Source organism: Homo sapiens, chromosome 6, assembly GCF_000001405.40.
Source record: "Homo sapiens chromosome 6, GRCh38.p14 Primary Assembly".
In the NCBI taxonomy this organism is placed as follows: domain Eukaryota; kingdom Metazoa; phylum Chordata; class Mammalia; order Primates; family Hominidae; genus Homo; species Homo sapiens.
Window position 1 is genome coordinate 127,181,369 of NC_000006.12, and position 26,635 is coordinate 127,208,003.

Sequence of the window (26,635 nt, forward strand, 5' to 3'; positions counted from 1 at the left end):
AATACAGCTGCTTACCAGGTGTTGTTAGCAGTAGTGCAAATCATTTGTGAGGTTATTCAGTGATGCCTGAAAAGAGTTGCTAATTTTTAGAAATCACCCGGTATTGTTTTCAGTTTGTTAGGGTTGATTCACACACCCACACCCAGACCCATTCATACTCAGGGAAGGCTTCCTCAGAGACATTTTGTGCTTAACTCCTTAAATCCTCTGCAGTTTAAAAGTTCCAGCAGACCTTGCAGGATCCAAAAGTGTGCTTGATTAAGGGTGGGCAAGATGTAATGGACAAAAAAGGGATTCACCTTCCTCTCCCCAAATTCTGACATAAGAGATAAACAAGTAAGCCAACCTTACTTCTGCTTTCCTTCAGTATTTTCACTCCCCAATATTTGAAGTCACTTCTTGACTACTACTCTTTCTCCTAAATATTCTCTGGAGATAAGGGAATGGCTTATATACAGTCATTGATCACGTATCCCCGTTTCTACCTGTCTCAGTACATTTTTGTATTGCTATAACAGAATACCTAAGGCTGGGTAATTCATTCAAAAAAAGAGGTTTATTTGGCTAACAGTTCTGCAGGCTGTACAAGAAGCATGGCACCAGTATCTGACTCTGGTGAGGGCCTCAGGCTGCTTCCACTCATGACAGAAGGAAAAGGGGAACTGGCACGTGCAGATCATATGACTAGAGAAGAAAAGAGAGAGTGTGTGAGAGAATGGAGAGAGAGAGAAGGTGCCAGGCTCTTTTTAACAAGCAGCTCTCTGGGAAACTCTCCTAGGAACTAATATAGAGTGAGAACTCACTCATTACCATGAGAATGGCACCAAGTCATTCATGAGGGACCCACTCCAATGACTCCCAAACACCTCCCATTTGGCCCCACCCCAAACATTTGCGCTCAAATTTCAACATGACATTTGCAGGGTCAAATATCTAAACTATAGCATTACCTTAACTAGGTCTTAAGGTATATATGAAGTTTACTTTGCTCAGAAAATAAAAACCAAACATATGGGCTATTTCAAGCTCTTTACCCCTTTAAAACTTTTTTCTATCTATTTCATCTGGCCTTCTTTTTTCCAGGGTCACTTTATTTCGTTCTTAAATACTTCAATTAAATGAGAAATATTTATTTTAGAGATTAAGACAGTGTTCTTAGAGATTGAGTAAGACAGTGTTCATTCTTTCAGGAATTGTCACATTTCCTTTAATTTTCAGCTCATTTGCTTAAGCCTTTCCTGAGACTTTCTCTTCCCATTAATTGCATTGCACATAACATCTGCTGTCCTTGCTACACCCTCTTAAATGGAAAGTTTCATCATACTACCCAGTGGTCCATTTTGGTGGCATTCCACTGAAAGAAAAATTCAATGGATTACAACAAAAGCCACAGTTATTCGAAACTCAAGGGGAAGTCAGGCTTCTGAGACTGTGTAGTGCCACTTCAAAAGAGGATACAAAAGCCCCAAGATCAGGCAAGATGGGCTAGAATCATATTTCATGACTTTAAAGGAAGACTACATTCTCAACTCCACCAAATAAAGCATCATTTATGCTTGCTATAGAAGATAATTAAGGAAGACAAGGTTATTTTGTCATCTTTCAACTTTTGACAACCATCCCAAGTGCTTTCCTCTCTTCCTCTATTTCTCTTGTTATTTGTTCCTCTTCCTGACCACCTCTTTTTCTCCAAACAATCGCAAAAACTTTTTGGTAGACCACTGTTTTCCAGCTTTGGGCTGAGAGATGGACTCTGATCCACACTCCCAACCTCAGGGAAACTCTGAAGTCTTCAAATCACTAAAACTGTCCTAGAACTCAAATGCCTTCTGGAAACAAGAGAATGGAATTCTTTCTAACTTCTCTGTTCCAACCTGGACTTCCTAATGCCATTTCTTGAAACAGCTTTAGGGATACTCTAGTTATTCATCATTGACTTGGTCCCAAAGGACCAAGCATGACAAGTCAAAATGATATTCCTGAAAACATGATATAGCTCTCTGGAGTTCACTGTAATCTCTTGAAGCTGATATTGGAACAGAAGTAGCTAACTGGCTGAGTACTCTATAATAAGTGGGACTTATTAAGACAGGTTGTTTGGGACACTGGGTAATCACAGCATGCCCGCATATGAGAGAGTAACACCAAAGCATCTCTGTCTATGCCTGTCCTTCTCCAACTCTAACTCGAATTAAGTCACAGCCATGAAATCAAGAAAAGGGAACAATATTTATCTTTTTCATTTAATTCATTCAACGAATATTTATAGACTCACTACAGTTCTCAGGCTCTTGCCAAAGAGAAAGGAGCTACCACAGCCTTTAGAGCAATAGTAGCAGTGCTTACTAATATACCAGGAATATCGGCCTTACATGTCTCCCCTTGTGCACAAAATTATGCAAGTAAATCAGGGAATCACTGCTAGAATCTCCCAATACTATCCACCCCACCTGTATTAGTGCATTCTCACACTATTAATAAAGACATAACCGAGACTGGGTAATTTATAAAGGAAACAGGTTTAATTGACTCACAGTTCAGCATGGCCTCAAGAAACTTACAATCATGATGGAAAGGGAAGCAAATGCATCCTTCATATGGCGGAAGGAAGAGAAGTGCCAAGAAAAAGGGGGAAAAGCCCCTTATAAAACCATCAAATCTCATGAGAACTCACTCACTATTACGAGAACAGCATGAGGGTAACCACCCCTGGAATTCAATTACCTCCCACTGGGTCCATCCCACCACACATGGGGATTATAGGAACTATAATTCAAGGTAAGATTTGGGTAGGGAAGCAGGCAAACCATATAACCACCCTACTCCAAAATAATCAGTCCTGTGAATTGCATTTCCTTTTCAATACTTTGATAGGTAAATAAAAATTAAGGTTGAATTTCTATAAAGAGTAAGTTCTTTATATTTGTAGTTGTTACTACATTAATTGTTCTTCCTAATATTATGAAAACTGGAAACAAAATTCAATATCACCTTGACAAATTGCAAAAAGGCCTAGAAATATGAATTAAAATTAGTAGATGATATACTGGGTTGCACATAGGGACCCAATCAAACAATAGAAGGAAACACACTAGTTAGTAGCAAAGGAAGAGGAGTGAAATCTACTAATGATAACGTTAATGTTGGGAGGGAAAGTCTATGCATAGGAGGTTGACTATCCAAAGAATGAAAGTAATTATTTGATTTCTTCTGCATTAATCAGATGCTTATTAGAAAGCCATATTCTATTTTCCTCAGGACATTCTGAAAGTTTGTGAAGAGAAAAAGTAGATAGGGTACAAGTCTTAATATGCTACATGGAAAATATGGTTGATAAGAAAAAGTTAAAAGTCATATAAGTTACAGAAATCACTAAATTTAAAGATTCAAATTTCTAAAGAGCTCTTGTGAAAGGATGACACTCTCTTCAGAATCATTAAAAATTACACTGGAAAACCGGCTGTCTTGGAATTGATACTTAAAATTCACCCCAAAAATAGAACTTTTCCATCAGTGGTGGAAAGGGACCTATAAATAAATATGTGCATATACATTTATATATAAAAAATATATACACACACAAACATACATACACATTTGTTCCCCAGGTCTATACTTCCAAACCTACCCTCATCAATAATGATAGAGAAAGCACAGTGAAAAGCTGTAAAATAGGTACAGTAAAATCTTACTAATCTTGCTAAATTACAGGGTGGATATTTCTAGATTAGTTAACACTTAACCTCCAAACAAATTTTAAAGATGATTAAATCAGTTGTATTCCCCTCCAAGTCCTATATGTAACCATTATTGATGAAGTAATTACAAGGACCTATCTTGATGATTGTGGAAATGGATGTTGAAAGTATTTCTGATTAAGAACAGACAATTGCTTCAACAAATAGAATGGGAGAAAAAGTACCTAGAACAATCTGCATTACCTGCTATAGGTGAAATACTCCCCTTATCATATATTATGGGTAAAGTTTATCACAAATTTTAATGTAGTAGAGGTTGAGTGGGGTTTTCTATGTTTTTCAAACTAGTTAAGAAACCAGTAGTTTGAAGCAAAATCTGCAACAAAAGAAGAATGAGTAAGATCCTGAAGCATAGTGAAACCATTTAAGAACGTATTTGAAGATGCATGAAAATCATCTTTACATATGTAGCTAATAAAGAGCTGAAAACATTAAACCATCACTATAAACATTTATATTATCTGTAGCTAAAATTGCATGGAGTGAGACACATGATACGTGGAGCAGCACAAATAAGAAACTGGGTAGTCATTTTTCCCCACATGATGCAATTCCAGATTAAAGGTACATTTTTCCCCCATAGACCAATAAAAAGCTTCAGAGAAAGACATAGTGGGCTGTGTTAGAATGAGAATTAGACAGCACAGTCAACTAGTGCATAACATGATGAAAGAGTAGAATACTATCAAGATTTCTTGTATAATCAATCACAGCAAACATGTCAGCAAGTATGAGGCCATCCGCTCCTGTCCATACAACCCAGTAGACAATTTGGGTAAGGGAATGAGTATAGCAGTGCCAAATGTGGCTATCAACACTTCTTCTGTTTCTGTCTCAAAAGAACAAAATTCTAAGACAAGCTCTTAGAACAAATGGAAATTTATCCAAATAAAAATCAAATGATAAATGCCCAGAGAATATTCTTTCTTTGGAATTCGTTCAATTCTTTAATTTAACCAGCTGGAATAAATTTTCAAGTAGCATTCTGCTCAGCCTTTTGAAATGAAGGACTTTTCTGTTAATTGGAAAGTTATATTCCATCAAAGATGAAGACAGTGATCTTGCCTTAGTGATTCTTAGAAAAAATAAAAGGCATTTGGTGAATATTTATCATATACTGATTCCAGAACATGTATTTTAAGCACAAATGAATGAGCTGTGGGCCTACACATTTAACTAAAGAAAAATAGGGAAAATTCAAATACAAGTTTTATTTTAAACTCTACATAAAAGCTAACTTTCACTATGCTCAGTCATGAGAGGAATATGTAAAGAGAAAATAGAAATAGAAACCATTAATTTTGAGAATGAAAGATGGATAATACAGCTGTGGTTCCTGATTTTCTGAAGCAAATGAATTAGATAAGTCAACACATTTAAGTGTTCTTTACTGTGTTACTGGAATATGTGTTATTGGGGCTGGGGAAACATGAGAGTCAACTCAAAAAGATCTACAGCAAGAAAATAAAAATTTACTGGGAAAAAATTATTTTGAAAATTCATATTTTTAAAGCAATCTGTACCATAGGCAGTACTTTAAACTTAGTCATTGATTATAGATATATTAAATAACATTGTTACATTTAAATTTTAAATTGGCACGTTAGGCAAACTAATTTATCGCAAATAATGTGAAAAGTTGTTTAAAAATTAATGATAGTCAAGTACTAAAGAAATAATTTTTCCAGATGTCTTAAAGGAATCACTGGATAGATGGTCTGAATTATAATTGTGTATTCTGATTTAAAATAATTTTATAGGAAGACTTCTAGGTAATACTATTTATGTACTTTCAGTCTGGCAATGTGTGTATAACAGAAATTTTTCAAAGAGGCTGTTCCACTTTTTTAAATATTTAAATTGCTGAGAGAACTTTTTAAAGGGTAATATGAAATAAATATTTAATAAGTTCCATAGACTCACGCATATTCTCCAGCTTGAGATGGAAGATGGTGGTTGAAGCAGCAGGGGGCGCCAGCGGGCATGGTGGTGAGATGGGGACAGGGTAGAGTACGAGTGTTACAAAAAAAAGATGAACACATCAATTCGTTTTTGAGATAGTCACTAATATTTTGAGAGGACTAGGTCCAAATTGAAAATTTGGGATAGAACACGACAATGTTGTTAGGCAGGCTTTAATGGTCTTTGAAATATTAGTGTTAGGACGCCCCACTGACTAAATTTCTGAAGATAGGTAATAAAATTCCCATATTATAAGCTCATAAACATTATATAAAACAACCAAAGTATCCTATTCAGGGTCATTTTTTTAAGGGAACAATAATATTCATCCAACAAGCTAGTCATGAATTTCACGGCAAAAGTAATGAATAATATTTGACGGTGCTTAATAGATGAAATTTGCCAACATACCCTTTGATAACAAGTAAGAATGAGAATAAATTTATATGCTTATTTAATAGATACAATTATTTAAAACCCAAGATCTAATTCAAAATGTGTTATGCAAACATGCTTAGATCAAGAAATTGTCTACATGTAAGTCAATGTATCTGATTTACTTTCCAAGAGTTTTATGATCTATCCTAAGGTGATAGATAGGATTTCAAAGTCAAGATAACAACTTCTGCTCTGAAGAAAAAATTACTTATTGTAAATGAACTTTTAACCAAAAAGCAGTTGATACAAGAGAAATAAACCCATACAAAAGAATGCAAAATCTAAAATATTTAATATAAATTATAATACCCTGCTAGCTTTTAAAATATTATACAATAAAATACAGAATATCCTTTACTTTTATAATGAGTAAAATTCGTAAACATTGCCAATATTTTTAAAAATCTTTGGGTACTTTCTCCCCTGATCACTTTTAACTGTTCTTTTAACATAGAACAGGAAGGCATCCTAGTATGCAATACCCAGTGCCTTTAATAGTTTCTTTTGGACTCCAGCTAATGGCCCTTTTAAATGGAAGCAAGGATTCCAGGCTGGGGTTCCAGGCAGCAGAAGCAATGAGGTGGAATGGAGTTAGCTTGAATGAAAGGGTTATGGAAACCTCTGTCACGACATTGAGCCAACATTCAAAATTTCAGATTCTGAGTCTTTAGTGGATAATAAAATTATTTAAACAACAGAGAAAAAAATTTGTAAAGGCCTATTGGCAATGGTCCATTTGTAAGGAAGGTATTTAATTAGGCAAAAGAGAGTTTATTATGCTTAAAGCAGACTATGAAAATACACATTCTAAAAAGTTGTGATTACTGATATTTATGATGTCTGCTATAAGGTGAAATGATTTATAATAGGACTGCATTCAAACCTCAAGTAGCATTTTAAAATTTTAAAGCTATATAATTTTTCTTTCTCTTTTTTAGTATTAAGTATAACAAAATATGAAAATATGTGATAATTTCATTAAAGCTTCAAAAATGTAACAGTAGTAGTCTAATGGAAAATTATTTCTAAATTAGATATAAATGATGTATAATTTTCAAGTTACATATATATATATATATATCATACCTCTATATGTTGGGGGAGTGGAAATACTAAAATATAGGCTTGTAGCAAAAATAAAAAGAAAGAGAATAGAGAATGAGATAGTGCTGAATGGTGCTGACTCAAAAAGTTTATTCCAAATGCTATTAAGTTCTGAGTTAATTTCTGATAAGCAGCTTTTCCTTGCCCAGCAAATTCAAATTTCAAGAGATTAAGAAAGTACACTCCAAATCTTGATTTTTATAAAACTCCTCTCTTTTAAACAGTTAGTCCACAGCTGGGCTCTTTCCTTGCCTCAGTAGCTGAAGTGACATAAACAAGGATGGCATGTCACATTGTGCTCTATTGAGAAATAATGTGGAGGCAGAAGGGTGCTGTGGTTAGGAACCCTCCTTATCCTCATCTGTAGAACAGGGGTTGAATAGAGCTTCTAGGCACCGTACTCTTACTTAGAAGTTGGCCTGGTACATATTAAAAGTAATGGCACAAACCACAATTATTTTGCACCAACCTAATAAAAGTGTGTGTTGAATTGTAGTTATAATTATTCTTACTATTTTTAAAAACAAACTATCCAGGTCATCTTCACCTTGATCTGCAGCAGGGTCCTAATTGGGAGCTGAGAACACAGAGAGGAGAAATGTAAATAGTCCAGCCTAGGAAGAGGTTAGGAGAGTGAGGAAGGTTTCCCTGAAGGCCAGATAATTCAACAGTAAGTCTGAGTTAGGGCAAGGGATCTAGAAACTGCATTCTAGATAAATGTATCCAATATATGGGATCAGTAAACATTATGGTGGGACAAGTGCAGGGGTGACTAAAAAGACAAGTGTGAGGCCAGCAAAGTAGATAAGTAAGCAGGGGTCATATCACAGTGGACAAGGACCCTGAGGGCCATGTTAAGAAGCTTGGGTTTATCTGCTTTCATTTCCTAAAGTTTATACTCAGTGCCTTCCAATCATTATGTTCTTGTTTCTAAATTCCCAAAACAGCATGATACAAATAGAGTGCCTCTCTTAAACTGGTCCTTTGAAATTGATGATAAAATGTTATTTCAATCTCAGTATATTTTAATGGTCAGAGCTATCTTTGTAAAAGTGGGCTCAAAGTAATATCCCAAATTAATAGCATTTAGTAGAGTATGTAATGATGTATCAAATTATTTTTCTTTGAATAATTAATCAGAAGCATCTTGAAAATTAAATAGAAAAGGCAATAGAATTCGTGTGTAACCTACCGCATAGGTAAATCAGGTAGCTTTAAATTTCAGTGTGGAGAAATTGTGTGCTTATTTATCAAAAAGCAAAAGACATTCATTCTTTGATATTTTTACTATATTTGTTGTAAATTCCTAGGTTAAATTTAGAGCAAGAAGAAGTTTTCTATTTTATTAAAACAAACAAAAGACATTTCTCAATTTACTTGATAATAATATAGGCCTGTAAATATGTATCTACACAATACATTATAATTGCCCCCACAAAAGAAAAAAGTCATACTATAGCAATTCCTCTTCCTTGCAAATTTTCCCAGTGATATTTTAATTTAAAATAACAGGCCGGGCACAGTGGCTCACACCTGTAATCCCAGCACTTTGGGAGGCCAAGGCAAGCAAATCACCTGATATCAGGAGTTCAAGACCAGCCTGACCGACATGGTAAAACCAAACCCCATCTCTACTAAAAATACAAAATTAGCCAGGCACGGTGGCACGCACCTGTACTTCCAGCTACTCGGGAGGCTGAGGCAGGAGAATCACTTGAACCTGGGAGGCAGAGGTTGCAGTGAGCCAGGACTGCGCCATTGCAGTACAGCATGGGCAAAAAGAGCAAAACTCCGTCTCAAAAACAAAAAACAAAAAAGAAAAAAGAACAAAAGCTGGAATTTTCATTCTCTATACATAATAATCAGGTCCAATTCCAGATTCAAAAATAATAAGATCAACCCCTTTTTCACACTGTGAGTGCTTTATAGAAGGCATAAAGCCATGGGCTTCCAGTTGAATTTCATTCCACACCAAATAAAAAGAAAAGAAAAATGTAATACTTATTTAATTGGTTTGAGTCATATAATTCGTGATATTTAGTCCTCAGTCTGTAATGTGGAATACATTTTTAGCATTTGGGTAAAAATTATAACCTAGTTTGTCTTGGGAAGTGAACTACTTACAGCTCAATGGCTCCCCTTAGTGACACTTCGCAAGAAATTCACAAAGCAGCAGCTTTTATGAAGACCTATAGACAGATTTTATCCAAACATCAAGAAAATAGCTGCTATTCATAATTTAAGTGGTTCTCAATAAGTGAATTACAGTTGTGATTCTAGGGAAAGCAACTCTTTTTTTCATAACCTCATTATGTTTAAAGGATATTGAACGTGTTCTATGGTTTGCATTTTCACTTGGAATTTAAATATATACAAGTTAGGAAGAATAATTCAGGATCACTCTCTTTGTCATTTTTTACATGTTTATTTTTTCTAGTTCATATATGCACTTGAACAGGTTTTAAAAAGATAACCTGCAATTAATTTAATTTATATCTGGGTGCCTATTCCAAATTTATCTATTAAGAAAACTTGCCTTAAAATTAGTAGCTACAGTAAGTCAAAAACGTATTTGATATTCATTAGGAAAAATGAAAGAAACAAAGGAGCAACCATGCAATTTGAAGTAAGTTTTGAGAGTATATATTTGAAGAAATTGGGTCTTCTGTTGCTCTGCAGCTTTGGCTTTTAAATGTGGTTGCACATCAAAATAAACTGGGGGGGAGGGGTGTGAACTTGTTGTTGACTACAGGTTCTTGGGCCCCTCATAAGAACCACTGAATCATAATCTCCAAGGGTGGGATCTAGGAATCTGTATTTTTATATGTTTTGGAACATTGTCTGCAGAAGGCCATAGGAAATGTTTATGTAAAAGACTGTATGTGTTTATACTAACAGAAAATAATTTCAGAATCTTAAAAATAACAATTATCAATTCAATTATGTGATACTACTATGCAACAAAATCTTAAATATGGCTTTTTGGTCTACATGGAGATTTTAGCTACTCTTTCAAAAATTAAGGCTCAAAAATACCAACCACTGACTACATTCCCTCTACAGCATCTTATTACTTACAGCAATTTTCTGAAATAGGAAATAAGGTCAACATGTAAGAATAGCCTATTGGCCTTTTCTAAACTCATCACAGAAACATCCAAACTCTGGCCTGCTATCTGAATTCAATACTTGCCCTTCTCTAGTTTTCAGTACACTGGTCCTCAGGACAAACTCCCAACATGGCAATTGAAGCCCGTATATCTTTCCAGCTTCTATGGGTAATATTCTATATATAGACTCTGATCAAACCAAGGAAGTTGACTTTCAATGCCCCAGATTCACCATGTCCTTGCATGCCTTAGTGCATGTTCACTGCCTGGCATGCACTTCTTCCCTCATCAGCCTAGCAAACTCTCAGTCATTCTTTTAGGCTCACCTCAAACATCATTACATCAGGGGAATTATTTTCAGTCTCTGAAATCATTTTCAGTCTCTCTTCATGGAGTTCAATGCTTTCCCACTGTACCCCCAACAGGACCTTGTACACACCTCTATTTTAGCATTAACATGTGACTATAATTATTGGCAGTCTCCATATCTAACTTATATCCCCAGGTTTTATCACACATTTTTGGCACAGAGTAGGGGCTTTGTTCATGTTTGTGCAAGGGGTTAATAATATTAGTTTTCATTTGTCCCATGAGTAACATATGCCAGTCACCATGCTAAATGCTCTACCAGCATCTCATTTAATCCTTATGAAGTTTAGCAAGAAGTAAGGATTATTCACATTTTAAATATATCAGAGAGTTAATCCTGAGAAATATCAACAACTTGCCAGAGTTCACACAACTAGTTGGTGGCAGACCTAGAATTTGAAAACAGCATTTTTCTGGCCCTAAGGACAGTGTACTTAAATGTTACACCATAGTGCTTCTCTGCAAGGGCTCAGATTGTACTTGACTGCTAATAGCAAATTCTCTTTGATGTTTTCTACCCAAACACCCTCATAGGTAGAACATCAAGGGGAGATGAACGCTGTTTTAATCACTAGAATGTTCCAAAACCCAGTTCAGGCAGGTACGTGCGTGTACACATGCACACAAACATGAATATTCAGTGAATGGCAAAGCACACGTGTGTGTGTATATATATATGTGTGTGTATATATGTCAGATTGTCATAACTGGAATGCTTAGTTTGCAAAATTGCCAAAAAAGCCTGAAAAAAATATTAACCACATCAATGAAAAGTCACCAGAATAAAAAAGGAAGTCCCCTTTAATGAAAACCTTACAAAATTATCCCAAATTACACGTGATTTTTAATGGACTACAGCCACTCTTGTGTATTTCTATTTTATTTCTTACACAAGCAGAAAATATATTTATGCAAAGGGTAGTTAGCATTTCCAACCACTAACACATGGCCTGTAAAAAAATAACAACCTCATTCTTCTGTTGTGCAATAGCCCTCTGTTGAGCAGCAATAATGTACAATGTGTTAGTTTCCTGTTACTTTACTAGAGCCTTCCCTTTCACTCACTGCCCAGACTAGTTATTCCTTGGACATAAAGTTATAATACCGAGTTTCAATCTACTTCCAAAAATGTTTAGGCCTGTCTTAAGAAATAATCATATCAGTTTGCTAATAAGCAGAAATGCACTGCCAGTTGAGGATGTTGTCACAAGTGGCTAAAAAACATATAAATCAATCTGTGACCAAGGAAGAAACAATACATTTCTTATGTGTCCAAAACATTATGGTTGGGATCACAGCTGTAAGATGTTGGACCGTCATCAAGAGAACAATGTCAAACACTGAACTTCTGGATGATTTCCATAAAAATAACATTTTGCTTGGGGTCAGTAGTTTTTATGGAACTTTGGAATGGTTTTTGCTGACAATTTTTTCGAGTTGAACTCAAACACCTCCAAAATGCTCCTCAATATGGAAATATTATGTAATCCAACCTTTGCAGCCATCTCCTTGTGAAAACTAAGCACATAGCATGAAAACTAGTATTTTTCTCTGTTTGTACAGTTTTATAAAATTTAAATTATGCTACATATTCAGAAAGGGAAACTTACTCTTCAGTTTTCCCTGTTTGGTTATTATATTCAAGTCAGCACATCAAATGTGTACTCATTAAATCCAGCATGGAAAGAAGGCCCTGATCCCTTCTGTAGAAATCTTATCAACCCAGCAAAATTCTTTTAAGTGAAAAGAATAATGGAATCGAGTAATCAGAATATAAGTAGTTCAGTTTAGGCATAATAGTTGCCTCTAATGTTGTTTGTTCCTCTCTGTATGTCCAAAACAATTTGCTTCACCCTTGAATGAATTCTGATTTTTGTCAATTGTCCCTTTAGATTCCAGAATTTGAAGGTATGTTGTGCTGAGCCCAACAAGGAAAGCTTTCAAAAAGTAACTGGAAGGTTTTATAAATACAGTCTCATGACAAAGCTAGATGTGGCATAAAATCATTAATCCAAGGAGACCGTATTGGCGTAGTATACCTATGCAATATTAATAATACCACTCCCTAGGATTCTGTAACCAGAGCCCAAGAAAAGGAAAGCCAAACCACTGAATTCAATATTTGCAGCCTACTTCAGGACATGAAAATATTTTGGTTCTCTCATGCAGACAATTTCTCCAAAATATTTTTGTCAAAAGTTACTTATTTTAGACAGTCTAATTTCAAATTTTAAATGACCCAGTATGTGGGATACACATTCAGAATTTGTCATACCTCAGGAAACAGTTGGTTCCTAGTTTTTGTTTACTGTAATATTGATTTGAATCTAGGTAATTTCTCATTGGGATATATGTGTTCATGGATGTTACTAAAACCATGCCTTCAGACTACACTGTAGACTACATATATAAAAGGTGTACATGATAATAAAACATCTAGTTAATTCACTGTTTAGAAATAAATAAAAATAATCATCCAATTTGGTGCCAGGTTTATCTACTTCGATCAAATTATTCTCTTCTTCTAAAACTCCCAGCATTTCTCCAATGCCGACAGAATAAAATTCAGTTCTTCAAGTGGCTCCCTGTTGGCTACAATAATACCTTTTCACATCCAAACCTTTAAAGTCATGTTGATTCCACTTTTAAAAATGTCTCCTCTCATAATGTGAGTCTGAGTTAAATCTATGCTTCAAACCCAGCTCCAGGTCGGGGGCCTGCATGAAATCCAGTATACATGTGATAAATATCTACTCATTTGCTGGATAGAGACTCAACCTGCCCTGGTAGCTTGTACCAGAGGGTTATTGATCAGTTATAGTCATCACCACCCTGCATGTAGAGAAATTATAATCAAAATTAATTTCAACATACAAATATTTATGTTAAAATACAATTATCTTGTTATTCATCCTTATTATTTCTGCATTTGTTATGCAAATCAGTTCTTTTCTCTTAGATAGCAGGCAAATATCTTGACAAATTATAACTATGTAACTGCTACTTCGAAAAAAATTGAATACAACATGGTACCTTAAAAATATGAGCCAGATAAAAATCTCTCCTTTTTTTTTGGAGATAGAATCTCCCTCTCTTGCTCAGGCTGGAGAGTACAGTGGCGCTATCAGGGCTCACTGCAGCCTTGACTTCCCAGGCTCAAGTGATCCTCCTACCTCAGCCTTCTGCATAGCTGGGACACAGGCATGCATCACCATGCCTCATTGATTTTTTTTATTTTTTATAGCGATAAGGTCTCACTATGTTGCCCAAGCTGATCTTGAACTCTTGGGCTCAAGCAGTCCTCCCACCTCAGTCTCCCACAGAGCTGGGATTACAGGCGTAAGCCACCAGGCCCAGCCAAAATATACATTTTAATAAATGTTTTCAACAGCAAGAAATCTATCTAAAACTTTCCATGAAACATGCATAAATAACTATCATGTAAAATAAGTTCCAAACTTAGAAGAACAGAACTATTTGGATTTCAAACAGTCATATGTTAGTTGCCTTATTATATCATATACGTGTTTCACATTTACATTGTTTGGAATATACCACAGACTTAATAATAGTTGAATGATTGAAATAGTAGATATTTAGTATCTATCATTATGATATATAATCTAAGAGAAATTTAAGTCATTTTTTAAAATGTAATTAAAAAATAGAACATAATTGAATGTAATTTTTAAAAGAGTATCCTTTCATTTCAGGAAAAAAAGGAAGGGAGAGGAAAAGAAAAAAACCTAATAAAGGAGAAAGTAAAGAAGCAATACCTGACAGCAAAAGTCTGGAATCCAGCAAAGAAATCCCAGAGCAACGAGAAAACAAACAGCAGCAGAAGAAGCGAAAAGTCCAAGATAAACAGAAATCGGTATCAGTCAGCACTGTACACTAGAGGGTTCCATGAGATTATTGTAGACTCATGATGCTGCTATCTCAACCAGATGCCCAGGACAGGTGCTCTAGCCATTAGGACCACAAATGGACATGTCAGTTATTGCTCTGTCTAAACAACATTCCCAGTAGTTGCTATATTCTTCATACAAGCATAGTTAACAACAAAGAGCCAAAAGATCAAAGAAGGGATACTTTCAGATGGTTGTCTTGTGTGCTTCTCTGCATTTTTAAAAGACAAGACATTCTTGTACATATTATCAATAGGCTATAAGATGTAACAACGAAATGATGACATCTGGAGAAGAAACATCTTTTCCTTATAAAAATGTGTTTTCAAGCTGTTGTTTTAAGAAGCAAAAGATAGTTCTGCAAATTCAAAGATACAGTATCCCTTCAAAACAAATAGGAGTTCAGGGAAGAGAAACATCCTTCAAAGGACAGTGTTGTTTTGACCGGGAGATCTAGAGAGTGCTCAGAATTAGGGCCTGGCATTTGGAATCACAGGATTTATCATCACAGAAACAACTGTTTTAAGATTAGTTCCATCACTCTCATCCTGTATTTTTATAAGAAACACAAGAGTGCATACCAGAATTGAATATACCATATGGGATTGGAGAAAGACAAATGTGGAAGAAATCATAGAGCTGGAGACTACTTTTGTGCTTTACAAAACTGTGAAGGATTGTGGTCACCTGGAACAGGTCTCCAATCTATGTTAGCACTATGTGGCTCAGCCTCTGTTACCCCTTGGATTATATATCAACCTGTAAACATGTGCCTGTAACTTACTTCCAAAAACAAAATCATACTTATTAGAAGAAAATTCTGATTTTATAGAAAAAAAATAGAGCAAGGAGAATATAACATGTTTGCAAAGTCATGTGTTTTCTTTCTCAATGAGGGAAAAACAATTTTATTACCTGCTTAATGGTCCACCTGGAACTAAAAGGGATACTATTTTCTAACAAGGTATATCTAGTAGGGGAGAAAGCCACCACAATAAATATATTTGTTAATAGTTTTTCAAGTTTTGTTCACTCTGTTTTATTGTTTGTTTTATTGAGAAATTCTTACTCTTAGAGACTCATGAATTAAGAAAGAGAATTCTGCTAACTCAGAGAACCTGGTTCCTATGTAATTCAGAATATATTACATTTCTCAGTAATATTTGTTTTTTGAATCCACCTTTATCTGAGCCAATGGAGATTTACTTATAGCGTATTAGGAGATATTTATTCCATTTTCTTATTTTAATCAACATTCTAATTATAGACACATGGGCCTCCCTAGCTGATTTCACTGCTCCCCCTTCATTGCTTAGAAATGGGCATCATTTCTTGTATGTCAGATCCCCCTGCATCTTCAACATTTAGTCTTTTCTTCTCCATATTTTCTATCTGTGGATCTCTTTAGGGGATTGAAGTCACCCTAGCTGAAGGCCTCACCAGTGTTTCACAGAGGACACAGCCCACCCCTTGCAGGAGGAGGTATCTCTGAGTGTGCAGCACAGAATCGCATGACCCACCTTAACCTTCCTGTTGTCATGGAAGGATGCACGGCTGCTCTGTCCACTGTGATTCCTAGCCCTCTCAAGATCACTGCTTTCTGAAGAATTTGCAATGACTCTGGCTTCTGGCTGCTTATCTCTGGACACCCGTTCTCCACCAGTTGTACAGTTCATGTAATCTACTTGGCTTAATTGATTTTCCACTTCTCTCTTCCTCTTCTAAGATATAAACATTTTAAATGATTTATTCCTGTTTCTTATTCTGGTGTTTCTTTCCTTGTCCCTATGAGATAAGTGTCTCAACTCACTAAATCTATTCCCAATGTATAAAATAATTCTAATTCCATTTTCAGCTAAAACATATATTACCAAGAAGAAACAAACTTTATCCTACAGAATGATGTTAGGTAGAAATATGTCCCCAGGTTTGAGACCTTTCGGATGATTTCATATACCATCTTTCTTCTGAGTGTTACCCAGTCAAGTATAAGTAGCCAAATTATTTTTGCACATCTTTCTGTTTCTCATGTCTTCATTTATTCAACAAGCACTTACTGGGAAGGTCTACACCTGCATAGGCAATGCTGGAAAAAGGGTTAAGTAAACCAGGACATGACAATGGTGGCAAATGACTATCAGGTCTTCCCATGTGTTTGACTCAAACTTATTACCCTATGGTCCTTCTGACAATGGCAGAAGGTCTGAATCCTTGATGCTAAACTTATATAAAAGTAGAATTATTACAAAGGAAAAAGAAATAAAAACTAACATTCATTTTCATATGTTGGATGAAATATAAATGAAGAAAAAGATAACATCAATTTTAACTGTAATTCTCCATCCACCAGTAACAGATCCTTAAGACAATAGAATCATACAGTATTCAAACCAGCAGCCTTCTCAAATTTGAGCAAAAACTCTATCAACCTCTGGTAAAGTTCCTACACTAGTCACAGAAGGTGTTAACTTTCTACTCTGATTCTGTCTCCATAATGGGGTAAACTGTTGATAGTTTACCCCATCAACAGATGGTCGGTAAATTATTGATTCGAAGAATCGAGAGAGTGCAGCAACATAAATCTGTTAATGTCTGATCAAGCTCCTGCCCTGTTCTCCGAATTCAGCTTCATAATTAAGGGAAGGCCTGTTTTCTATCCTCAGATTTAGGTTCTAGTAGCAGTTGTGTAACCACTAGTGAGTCACTTAACTCCTCTGGGTCCCCATTTCTCATGTGCAACAAGAAAGAGGGGAACTGGAGATGATCACTCTAGTTCCAGACAAGGGAACATTTCACACTTTGTTTACTTCAGGGTGATGTCCCTGAGTCCTCATTAGTGACTGCGTCCTTTGGAAGTTATCCCAACCCTGCTTTTCTCAAAAGTGAAAATGTATAGGCTCTCAGAGGAGACAGATTTAACTCTGCTTCTCTAATGTTATTGAATTAAAAGCTGTTCACATTAGTGGTTATTAAATATTGAAATAACACTGGGAAGAAAAAGCATATATAAATACAGCTAAAAACAAGAATAGATATTCATTCTCACAAAGGGAGACAGCAAAGAAAATGGAAAGTGCACTGGTGCTAGCGTTAGACAGCTTGTGTTAATGTCTCAATTCTGCTACTAACTGGTTGCAGCTTGTGTGACCTTGGGCACATTGTATGATCTCGCAGAATATCATCCCAAATCTGCAAAATGGAATTGGCATCATCTCTTTTGCAAGATTGTTATGAGAATTAAAAGGTTCTTCATTCAATATAATAATAAATATTTTGTATATAAATGAATATCAATTAAAAGTTATGACTAATTCCACAAGTCAAACATATAAATTTTATTTCTTGATTCATGATATGTGATAGTATTCATAAAAATGTACATGCATGATAATTTCAAGGAATAAGTATATATGTGAGAATCATGGAAATGAAATTAATAATATTAACTAGTAATTAAATTGTAATTTTGTCTTGAGTCTTCTTAAAATTAGGAAACTACTTAAAGTACATTTTTTATAAATGGGCATAAATACAGACAGTATATATTTTCCATGGATATATTTTCATAGCAGAGGAACCAACTAGATTCTTTCTCAATACAACTGCAACTATTTCTGGTCAAATTATGGGGAAAAGGCCTGTTTTGTGGTTGATCTGTTACAAACAGGGTGTAACTTCTTGTAACGCAAAGATAATTTGTCTGGAATTCATCCACCACTGAAAAAATAAAATTAAACAAGGATCATGATCAAATCAATTGAAATTTTTCCAAATTTAAGCAATAACATTTCATCTTACTAACATAGTAGATTATTGTAACTTTATTTCAAATGTTCTTAGAAAAAGAAAAGCAAAACAAAACAAATGGCTGTACCTCCTTTATGCTAGCCACTTAACCCTTTGACTATACTATATTATGTAATTATCCCAAAAGCCCTGTGAGTCATTGATGTCCTTGTTTTACAAAAGAGGAAACTGAGGCACAGAGAAGTGTCTAAAGTCATACAACTAGCAACATGTGAGTTTGGAAGTGACACCCAGCTCTGGCTGACTCCAAAGCCCACTTTCCTTCTCCTTCATCATAACTTCTAAAGTCATATTTATTATTAGTTCCAAGATTGCCCATGACATATAATAGTGAGGTATTTCTTCATGATCTAAAACTATTATCCCCCATTAAGAAGCCTGAGACGTCAAGTTCTAGAGGCCTCAACCCAGGATAAGACTTAACTCTGAATCTGAACTCGAAATGTGACTGTGTGTGTGTGTGTGGCGCGGCGGGGTAGGGTGAGGCGGTGAGACACAGAGCTGCAGGAAGCCTATGGGCTGGCTGGATGTGGGGTTTGTGGGGAACAGTGGATTGGGGGAGGCAAGTGCATTGGTAGGCAAGAGGAATAAAAAGGAGAAATGGGAAATACGTGCTATCAGTAAAGGACCAAAGTTCAGAAAGAGAACAGTAAGTCTGGCTCCTTGGGAAGCCCTCGATTGTTATAGCCCTTTATGTCTGTGGATTAGCCCTCAATTCAGTTCTTTTCTGGTATAAGCAGGGTATTTGCCAGCATGATCATCTTTCCCCTGAGTCCTTGTTCAGAATTGCAATGATCCAGGAAGAAACATCAACAGATTTTCTTCACTGTTGGAACTACCAAAACAACTTTCTTCAGAGGATACTTCATTTTCTTCCAGCTACTTTCAGACATTCAATATCAGGATTTTAATTGTCACACACCTTTTCTTGCCCATACTGGCTCTCAAGTAATTTTGAGGCTAACATATCCATCACATACACAGGTACAAAAAATGAAGGAAGAAAGAAAGAAAGGGAGGAAGAAACATAGGAGAGACGGAGGGAGGGGGGAAGCAAGAAAGCAAAATAGCAATCATTTTTATTCATAGTCCTTAAAATACAGTGGTAACACAACTCCAACAAGTGGAAATATTTCATTAATTGGAAAATTGGCTACATAATAATTTCAAAAGACATAATTACATGACCACAAAATAATCTGACATATAAACAGTTTGCAAACTGTTACAGTTACTTCTATATCTATAGCTGTGTGCAGTGAAAATTGTTGTTCAATATGATGTGGAGGCAATCCAACATACTGAATCACCTACAAAGGATTAAGTTTTATTTTAAAAAAGAAAACTGGCAGATACATATAAGAAAAGTTTTTAAACAAGGTTAAATAATAACTTTACCAAAGTGTTCTGCCTAACAGGTTTAATGGAAGTATTCACTTTTGTACTATTAGCATCAGTTACTATTTTAGCTGCTCCGAATTTCTATCACAAATGAATTTCAAGCAAGATCTAGATTTTCTTCAACAAATTTAACAACTTCTTAAACATTTTAAAGAGGAGTCTACCTTTATAAATAAAACAATCAAATGTATTTTAAGTGCTTTGAAATTATAAAGCACAATAAATATATAAGCTATTACTGTTGCTAGCCAGTCCCTAGCTACAGCAACAGTTTGACATTCCTTTCCCCATTGCTCACACTGCCGCCCACACTGGAGATTTCAGTCTAAGAATTACCTATATTCTTCCCCAAAAGGAGTCAATAGAAGTACGTGATGAGACCACATATTTGAGAATGCAACAATGTAGCCCTTCCTTACTAGAAGGGAGTAAGGATATACTTCACTTCCTTCTAGTATATCTGCATTGTTTTTTTTCTGTAGCTGCTGGCAATGGAGCTATATCAAACATGGAACTAGAGGTGCAACTTTACTTTGTACATTGTGTGATACCCAAATACAATAAAATAAACTACCACTAAATGTGGAATCTTGAACTGGAGACATTTCTGAGTCAGTTAACGCTACCACATACGGTCTCCCCAGAACACGCACATTCCAGGTTGGTCCCAATCTCCCAAGAGGTAGAAAATTTGGTGACAACTCCGTCAACTATCTGGCTATGATGATCTCAAGATTTGAAAAAAAGTAAAAAGAATTCTGATCCCAAAAAGAAAGGAACCCTTATTTTCATCCTTATAACTACTCAGTGACATGTACTGCCCCTCCACCAGAATGACATGCCAAAAACGAGTGCCATGCCCTGGGGCACTGTGCTGTCCCTGGCAGCAGTCCGTCCATCCTTTTGACTTCCTTCCCTACTTCTGTTCTACACTTTGCTTATTTATGGTTTTTGATTGACTAGTTTGGGAAGGAAAAAAAACCCTACCTAATGATTTAAAAATTAACCTAGGAATAAACTGGAGAAGACATAATTTAATAAATTCCTCGAAGTATAGAGCTATGGAAAGAATATTATTTATACTTCTTTTTTTTTTTTTTTGAGAAGGAGTCTCGGTCCGTCGCCCAGGCTGGAGTGCAGTGGAGCAATCACGGCTCACTGCAAGCTCCGCCTCCCGGGGTCATCCCATTCTCCTGCCTCAGCCTCCCGAGTAGCTGGGACTACAGGCGCCCACCACTACGCCCGGCTAATTTTTTGTATTTTTAGTAGAGACAGGGTTTCACCATGTTAGTCAGCATGGTCTCGACCTCCTAACCTCGTGATCCGCCCGCCTCGGCCTCCCAAAGTGCTGGGATTACAGGCGTGAGCCACTGCGCCCGGCCCCATTTATACTTCTTAAAAGAAGTTTAATAAAAATAAACTAGAAAACAAAAATAGAAACACTTTGTGTTTCACATACAAGGGATTTTCCTCATGTGGCAACTATTTGGAAGAAGGTCCTATTTATCACTAAGTTCACCCTTACTGATCTTTTTCCCATAGTAAAAAAAAAATGATTATGACTCACTTTATGAACACACCAAATGCTACAGGAAAATAGATTTTAGTTTTATCCAAACCAGCAGTGAGAATAATTTATGATTCCAAAAAAGACATAGACATGCAGAGTCAATTTAGGAAAGTGAGTCAGTTTCATGCAAATAAGTTCTAGCTTTCTTGATTGCCAGTCTCCTTTTAATGTTGGAATTTTAGGGGGGGAAATGAATTATTGTGGTAAACCAACAATTCCACTTGTTAACTATGGAATATTTAAAGGATAGCTTAATATGTACATGTGAAAGGGTCAAGAGAATAGAGTTTTATTTGAATATCCAGATGATCCAATTAAATCCAAAATGGTATTATTTCTAGAACAGAAGAGACCATTAGAATGTGCTGTTCTAGTATCTCTAGAATTCTCAAATTTATTATGAGAATTATCCTTTCCACAATTGTCAAAATAGATTGTTTGGCCATAAACATCCTTGCAAGCCTAAGCAATTTGAAATTCAGGGCCTATATCAGTTTCCTTGCCTCCACCCCTTTCACCCCCAAAAGAAACCAGTCAATTAGATAATGGATAAATTAACACTATATTGACAAGCAAAGAATAATTAGAAATTAATAAGCATAAAGAGAAATGACTGTGTAAAAAAATCACTTGTTTCAGGTTTAATGTAGTCACTTTGGGACAGGAATATAAAACATGAAACATGAAAATAGTCAGCAGATGCCCTTTCCATCCATTAATAAAGTATCTTTTAAATAAATAATCAATCAACCTATAGATTCTGCCATTAGGAAATTAGCAACAGTGCTTTGCTGTACCAGTAGAGCTATCAGATTAGACAATTTTCATATGTATAGGTGACATAACATTCTCCTAAAATTTTCTATCAGGTTTCTAGATGGAGGTTAAAAGCCTTGTATGATTTTGTAATAATTGATATACCAAGCCTGGCATCCACAATAAATATTGATGTTTTCCATTCTGTAAAAATGATATAAAACATATTAGTGCTTTTATAGTTATGCAACTTTGTATGTTTTGATACCAAAAAAGATCCAGAAAATGTGAAAATACAGATAGTTATCTAAGTATAGCTTCACCGAGATTGGGTGATTTAATTATCAATTTGAAGGAAAACTCTTTTATCTGTAACAATGATCATAACTGAACTACTGAACTGGCCAGCAAAATTAATGTCTTGATCTGCCACTCAAGCAGTATTTAGTCATTATTTTCAAATGACTAAAATTAAATAAAATAAACTATACCTTTGAGAATCATTTTAACTGAAGTAGCCAGTTATAAGGGCTAGCCACAGGCAGTGTTTACAAAATGTCTCTTTAAGAGGTGTAAGATTATTTCAGATCCACAAAGAAAAAGCAGCAGATGGTCCTGCTTTTCCCTTGTATCACTTGAAACATACAAGACTTAAATATTAAGTTAAAAGTGTATTGAGAATACTTCAGAAAACAAATCTATGCCCAAATCACTCCTTAAAGCATGGAAAGAAAAATAATGCTAAAGTGGAGGAAAATAATTAAAAGTGGAATTCCCTATATATTCTAATTTGCAAGATGAAGCTTCACTCTTCCTGCAAAATACTACATTATGGGTATGAAGACGCCACACCAGTCCTAACCAAAACATGTCTCAGCCCTTCTCCAGCCTTCACCAAATATCACATTGCCAGCTTCTCTTTTGTCATGTCCTTGCACTTCCACAAATTGGATTTCCCATCAGAGTGTTAGTACACTCTGATGAACTCAACAAAGCAGAAGTAAGAAAAAACAACTTTAAAAATGTTGTTTTTATATTACAAAGCAATGTTTCAAATAAATGTTATTCAATATTACTGAAATGGCATTGAAATAGTCATAATGAGAAAAGTGAGAACTTGGTTGAACTTTCTTATACTGGTTTTACAATTTAATTCTGTGTTAGTTTGCAATACATTAAAAAAAGGAACGACAGAATCTTTCAAAATCCTTGGTCCAGTCCTACTGCACAAACACAAGCACCTACTGCCTCCCTTCTCTCCCGTTAGTCAATCCTAAGCCTTGCCTGAGAAATATCAGTGATTCTGTCAAATACTACAGACTGCTCTCTATCCTGAGTGCCTTGAGAAGGTCTCCAGCTATTCCAGTGTCACCTTTGACAGGAGGCAAAGGTGGTAAGCAAAGGTGTCAAGGCCCTGTCATCCATTCTGCCTTGTGTTTCTTTCATTTCCTGTACAGGGTAACTGCTCAGAAAAACTCAACTATTTCTCACAGGACAAATCATATAAAACCTTACAGGATTAAAAAAAGAGAGAGAGAAGCGCTTGTAATGAAAAGAAACGAAAGAAATAATAAGAGAACACACAAGAGGAAACCAGTCACACCCATTCTCTCTAGTGCTATGTAGCTTAACCCACACCCAAAGTAAACTGCCTTCACTTCAAGAAGCTGTCTCTCTGTAAATAAACTGACCAATGTATCTTTAAGACATAAACATCTTGGACTGCCATAATAAACATTGCAAAATAAATACAAAATAACATCTGGAGGCAAAGCTTTGCTAGGAGTGGGGTGAGAGGGAGTGCTAGCTTTTCTTAGCACCATTAATAAAGTATTAATTTCATTTTCTTTTAGTTTGGAAAATGCTTTCCATTATTAACCAAAAACAAATCAAAGACTTACTGATTTTACTTTAAAATCCAAAGAATGGAATACTGTCTGTCCATAATGGCTTTTTGCAAGTTGGGCTTATCTTCTTAGTTATATTTTAATTCCCTTGTTTTCTACTGTTTGAAACTAGCACTCAGTCACCAAGCAGTTAATTTAGATATGAAAATGGTTTATATTTAGGTCTAATTATTACTGTCCTGTTACATAAAAATCTTCTTTCTGTCTTGGGAAACCAATTTCTCCAATATAATGTACCAGAAAAACACAATACTTCCATTGTAAGAGTATATTATAATGATTATGACATTCAACCATTGTTTCTCATTGCAATGGCAGAGACCATGTTTCATGCACTTCCTATCAGCATCCGACTTATGTGTAGTTATCCCATTCAATTAACATTTATCATCGGCAAACAGCAACTGGTCCAGCTCTCTACCTGTACAAAATAATTACATCAAATGCTTGAGTTGCTCCTAGTAAATTTTACTATAATATTATTATGTAGATAATTGCCCTAGGAATTACTTCTCTTATTTTGTGTAATGCTCTGGTAAGATTTTTTGTAGGTGACATAGAAAGCATTGTATTCCAATGCCAAGAAAAAAAAAAAACTCATTAGAAATATATGTAACTTACAGCCAGGCGCCATGGCTCACGCCTGTAATCCCAGCACTTTGGGAGGCCGAGGTGGGTGGATCGATCACCCGAGTACAGGAGTTCCAGACCAGCCTGGCCAACACGGTGAAACCCCAACTCTACTAAAAATACAAAAAATTAGCTGAGCATGGTGGCAGGCACCTGTAGGCCCAGCTAATTGGGAGGCTGAGGCAGGAGAATCACTTGAACCCAGGAGGTGGAGGTTGAAGTGAGTCGAGATTATGCCATTGCACTCCAGCCTGGGAGACAAGAGCAAAACTCTGTCTCAAAAAAAAAAAAAAGAAAAGAAATATATGTAACTTATGAGTAAATTATAATACCTCCTAAAAACCATTATACCTAATTTACAATAACTACTACTAATAATGACAAAATAAATTATTTGAAATGTATATACCCTAAATTATTTCTTGTTCCCAATGTATAAATCTTTATTTTTATAAAATGAAATAAACTTGTTAACTATCAGGGGAACAGTAAATGCCTTCCATTTAGTCAAATAAATATGTAAGGATATTTAATCTCATATAAGTGTTTTTTAAAAGTATACTTGTCTCTCTTTCCATAGGAAGTAATGTCTGGCAGAGGAAAACTGCTGAGCTATGTCTGAGATAGTTTCATCTGCTCACAGGCTGCTCCTGATGGCACATATTTATTGTGTTTCTCACATGGCCTAAACTATACCAGCAAAATGAGGAATTCAGTTTTCCTTTTAAAAAATTTTCCTTTTGAAAATAACAGGCATTTTACTAAACATTCCTTTTTTTCTTATTTTGATTAGCCAAAATGCCAGTTGCAGGCAGGCTACATAAAGGATATTCTAAATTCCAGACCCTCTTTCATCAGATATTGCAAAGGCTGAAAGTAAGATCAAATTTACCCAAGCCACAAGTTGTAATAAATTTAAAAGAATCATCTTTGGCTTCCATTATTAGTCATTTCCTCTCTTTCAACAAACAATAATTCAACAAATAAAAATTTTAAAAGTTCTGTCTATTTTAGGCTTTGCAGATAGAAAGACTTGCATTTAAATCTCTTTATTATTGACCGTGCACTCTTGGAAAAGTAATTTATTTGATTCTCCATATATTCATATATAAAATAAATATAATATTTTTACAGACTGTATAGAGTTGTGAAGATTAAAGGAAACTATGTGGCATGCCAAGTATGTACTGGGTTCCCAGTAAATTGCTACTAATTAAAATGTATGTGCTTTGCTTAAAATAGAATTTCCAAGTCACTCTGAAACAGAAATATCGATATTTCTGTTATATATAAATATATATAAATACAATCATGTAAACACACATACATACACATATATTTCCTTCAATAATCAATCTTTCTATAATATTTAATTTAATCAATAGGTATTTACAGTATATCTACTGTTCACCAGGCAACATGCTTGATACAGATAATACAAATCCACAAAATAAAATTCTTGTCTTTGAATCTTCCTACTAGGAGAAACACATAAGATACCCAAATGCTATGAGGGTATTTTACCTAAGTCTGTGCCTCCTGGTGCGGAGGTCAAGAGGAATGAGCCCCTAACTCAGGCTTGGATGCAGGAGCAGGAGAGGATGAGTGTTTAGTAACGTGAGCTAATTCCTCAATCATGAGTACTTCTTTGGCAGTGAAACAAAATAGGAAATGAATGTCGGGTTGGGTATCACAGGCCATGAGAAAAGCCTGGCATAAATGAGAATATGCAGTTTGGGGAATTACAAGTAGTTTCTGTGTTCTCTGGCAAGAGATTTGGGAAGTGTGAACAGGAAACAGATGATAAATGGCCTTATATGTTATGGGAAAGAGTCTATACTTTATCTTGAAAACAGTGATGAGTCTGTTAAGGTTTTTATGAGGAGCAATGAAATAATTCTATTTGTCTTAAAAG

The 26,635-nt window shown here is 35.4% G+C and overlaps 1 protein-coding gene and 1 long non-coding RNA gene across 9 annotated transcripts in view; one reads left to right on the plus strand and one right to left on the minus strand.

The window, feature by feature from the left end:
* The window catches only part of RSPO3 (R-spondin 3), an 80,811-nt gene extending 62,698 nt beyond the window's left edge, over positions 1-18,113 (plus strand). Inside the window, exon 5 of one of the 2 annotated variants that reach the window (NM_032784.5) lies at positions 14,455-18,113. In NM_032784.5, coding sequence (NP_116173.2) covers positions 14,455-14,639 — 185 coding nt within the window. In that variant the 3' untranslated portion in view covers positions 14,640-18,113. Of the gene's footprint in view, positions 1-11,275; positions 11,344-14,454 lie in introns of those variants that run through there. The other variant, XM_017011378.1, reaches the window with a different exon arrangement.
* The window catches only part of LOC105377989 (uncharacterized), a 347,578-nt gene that overhangs the window by 316,102 nt on the left and 4,841 nt on the right, over positions 1-26,635 (minus strand). The gene's annotated exons all lie outside the window — the stretch shown is intronic.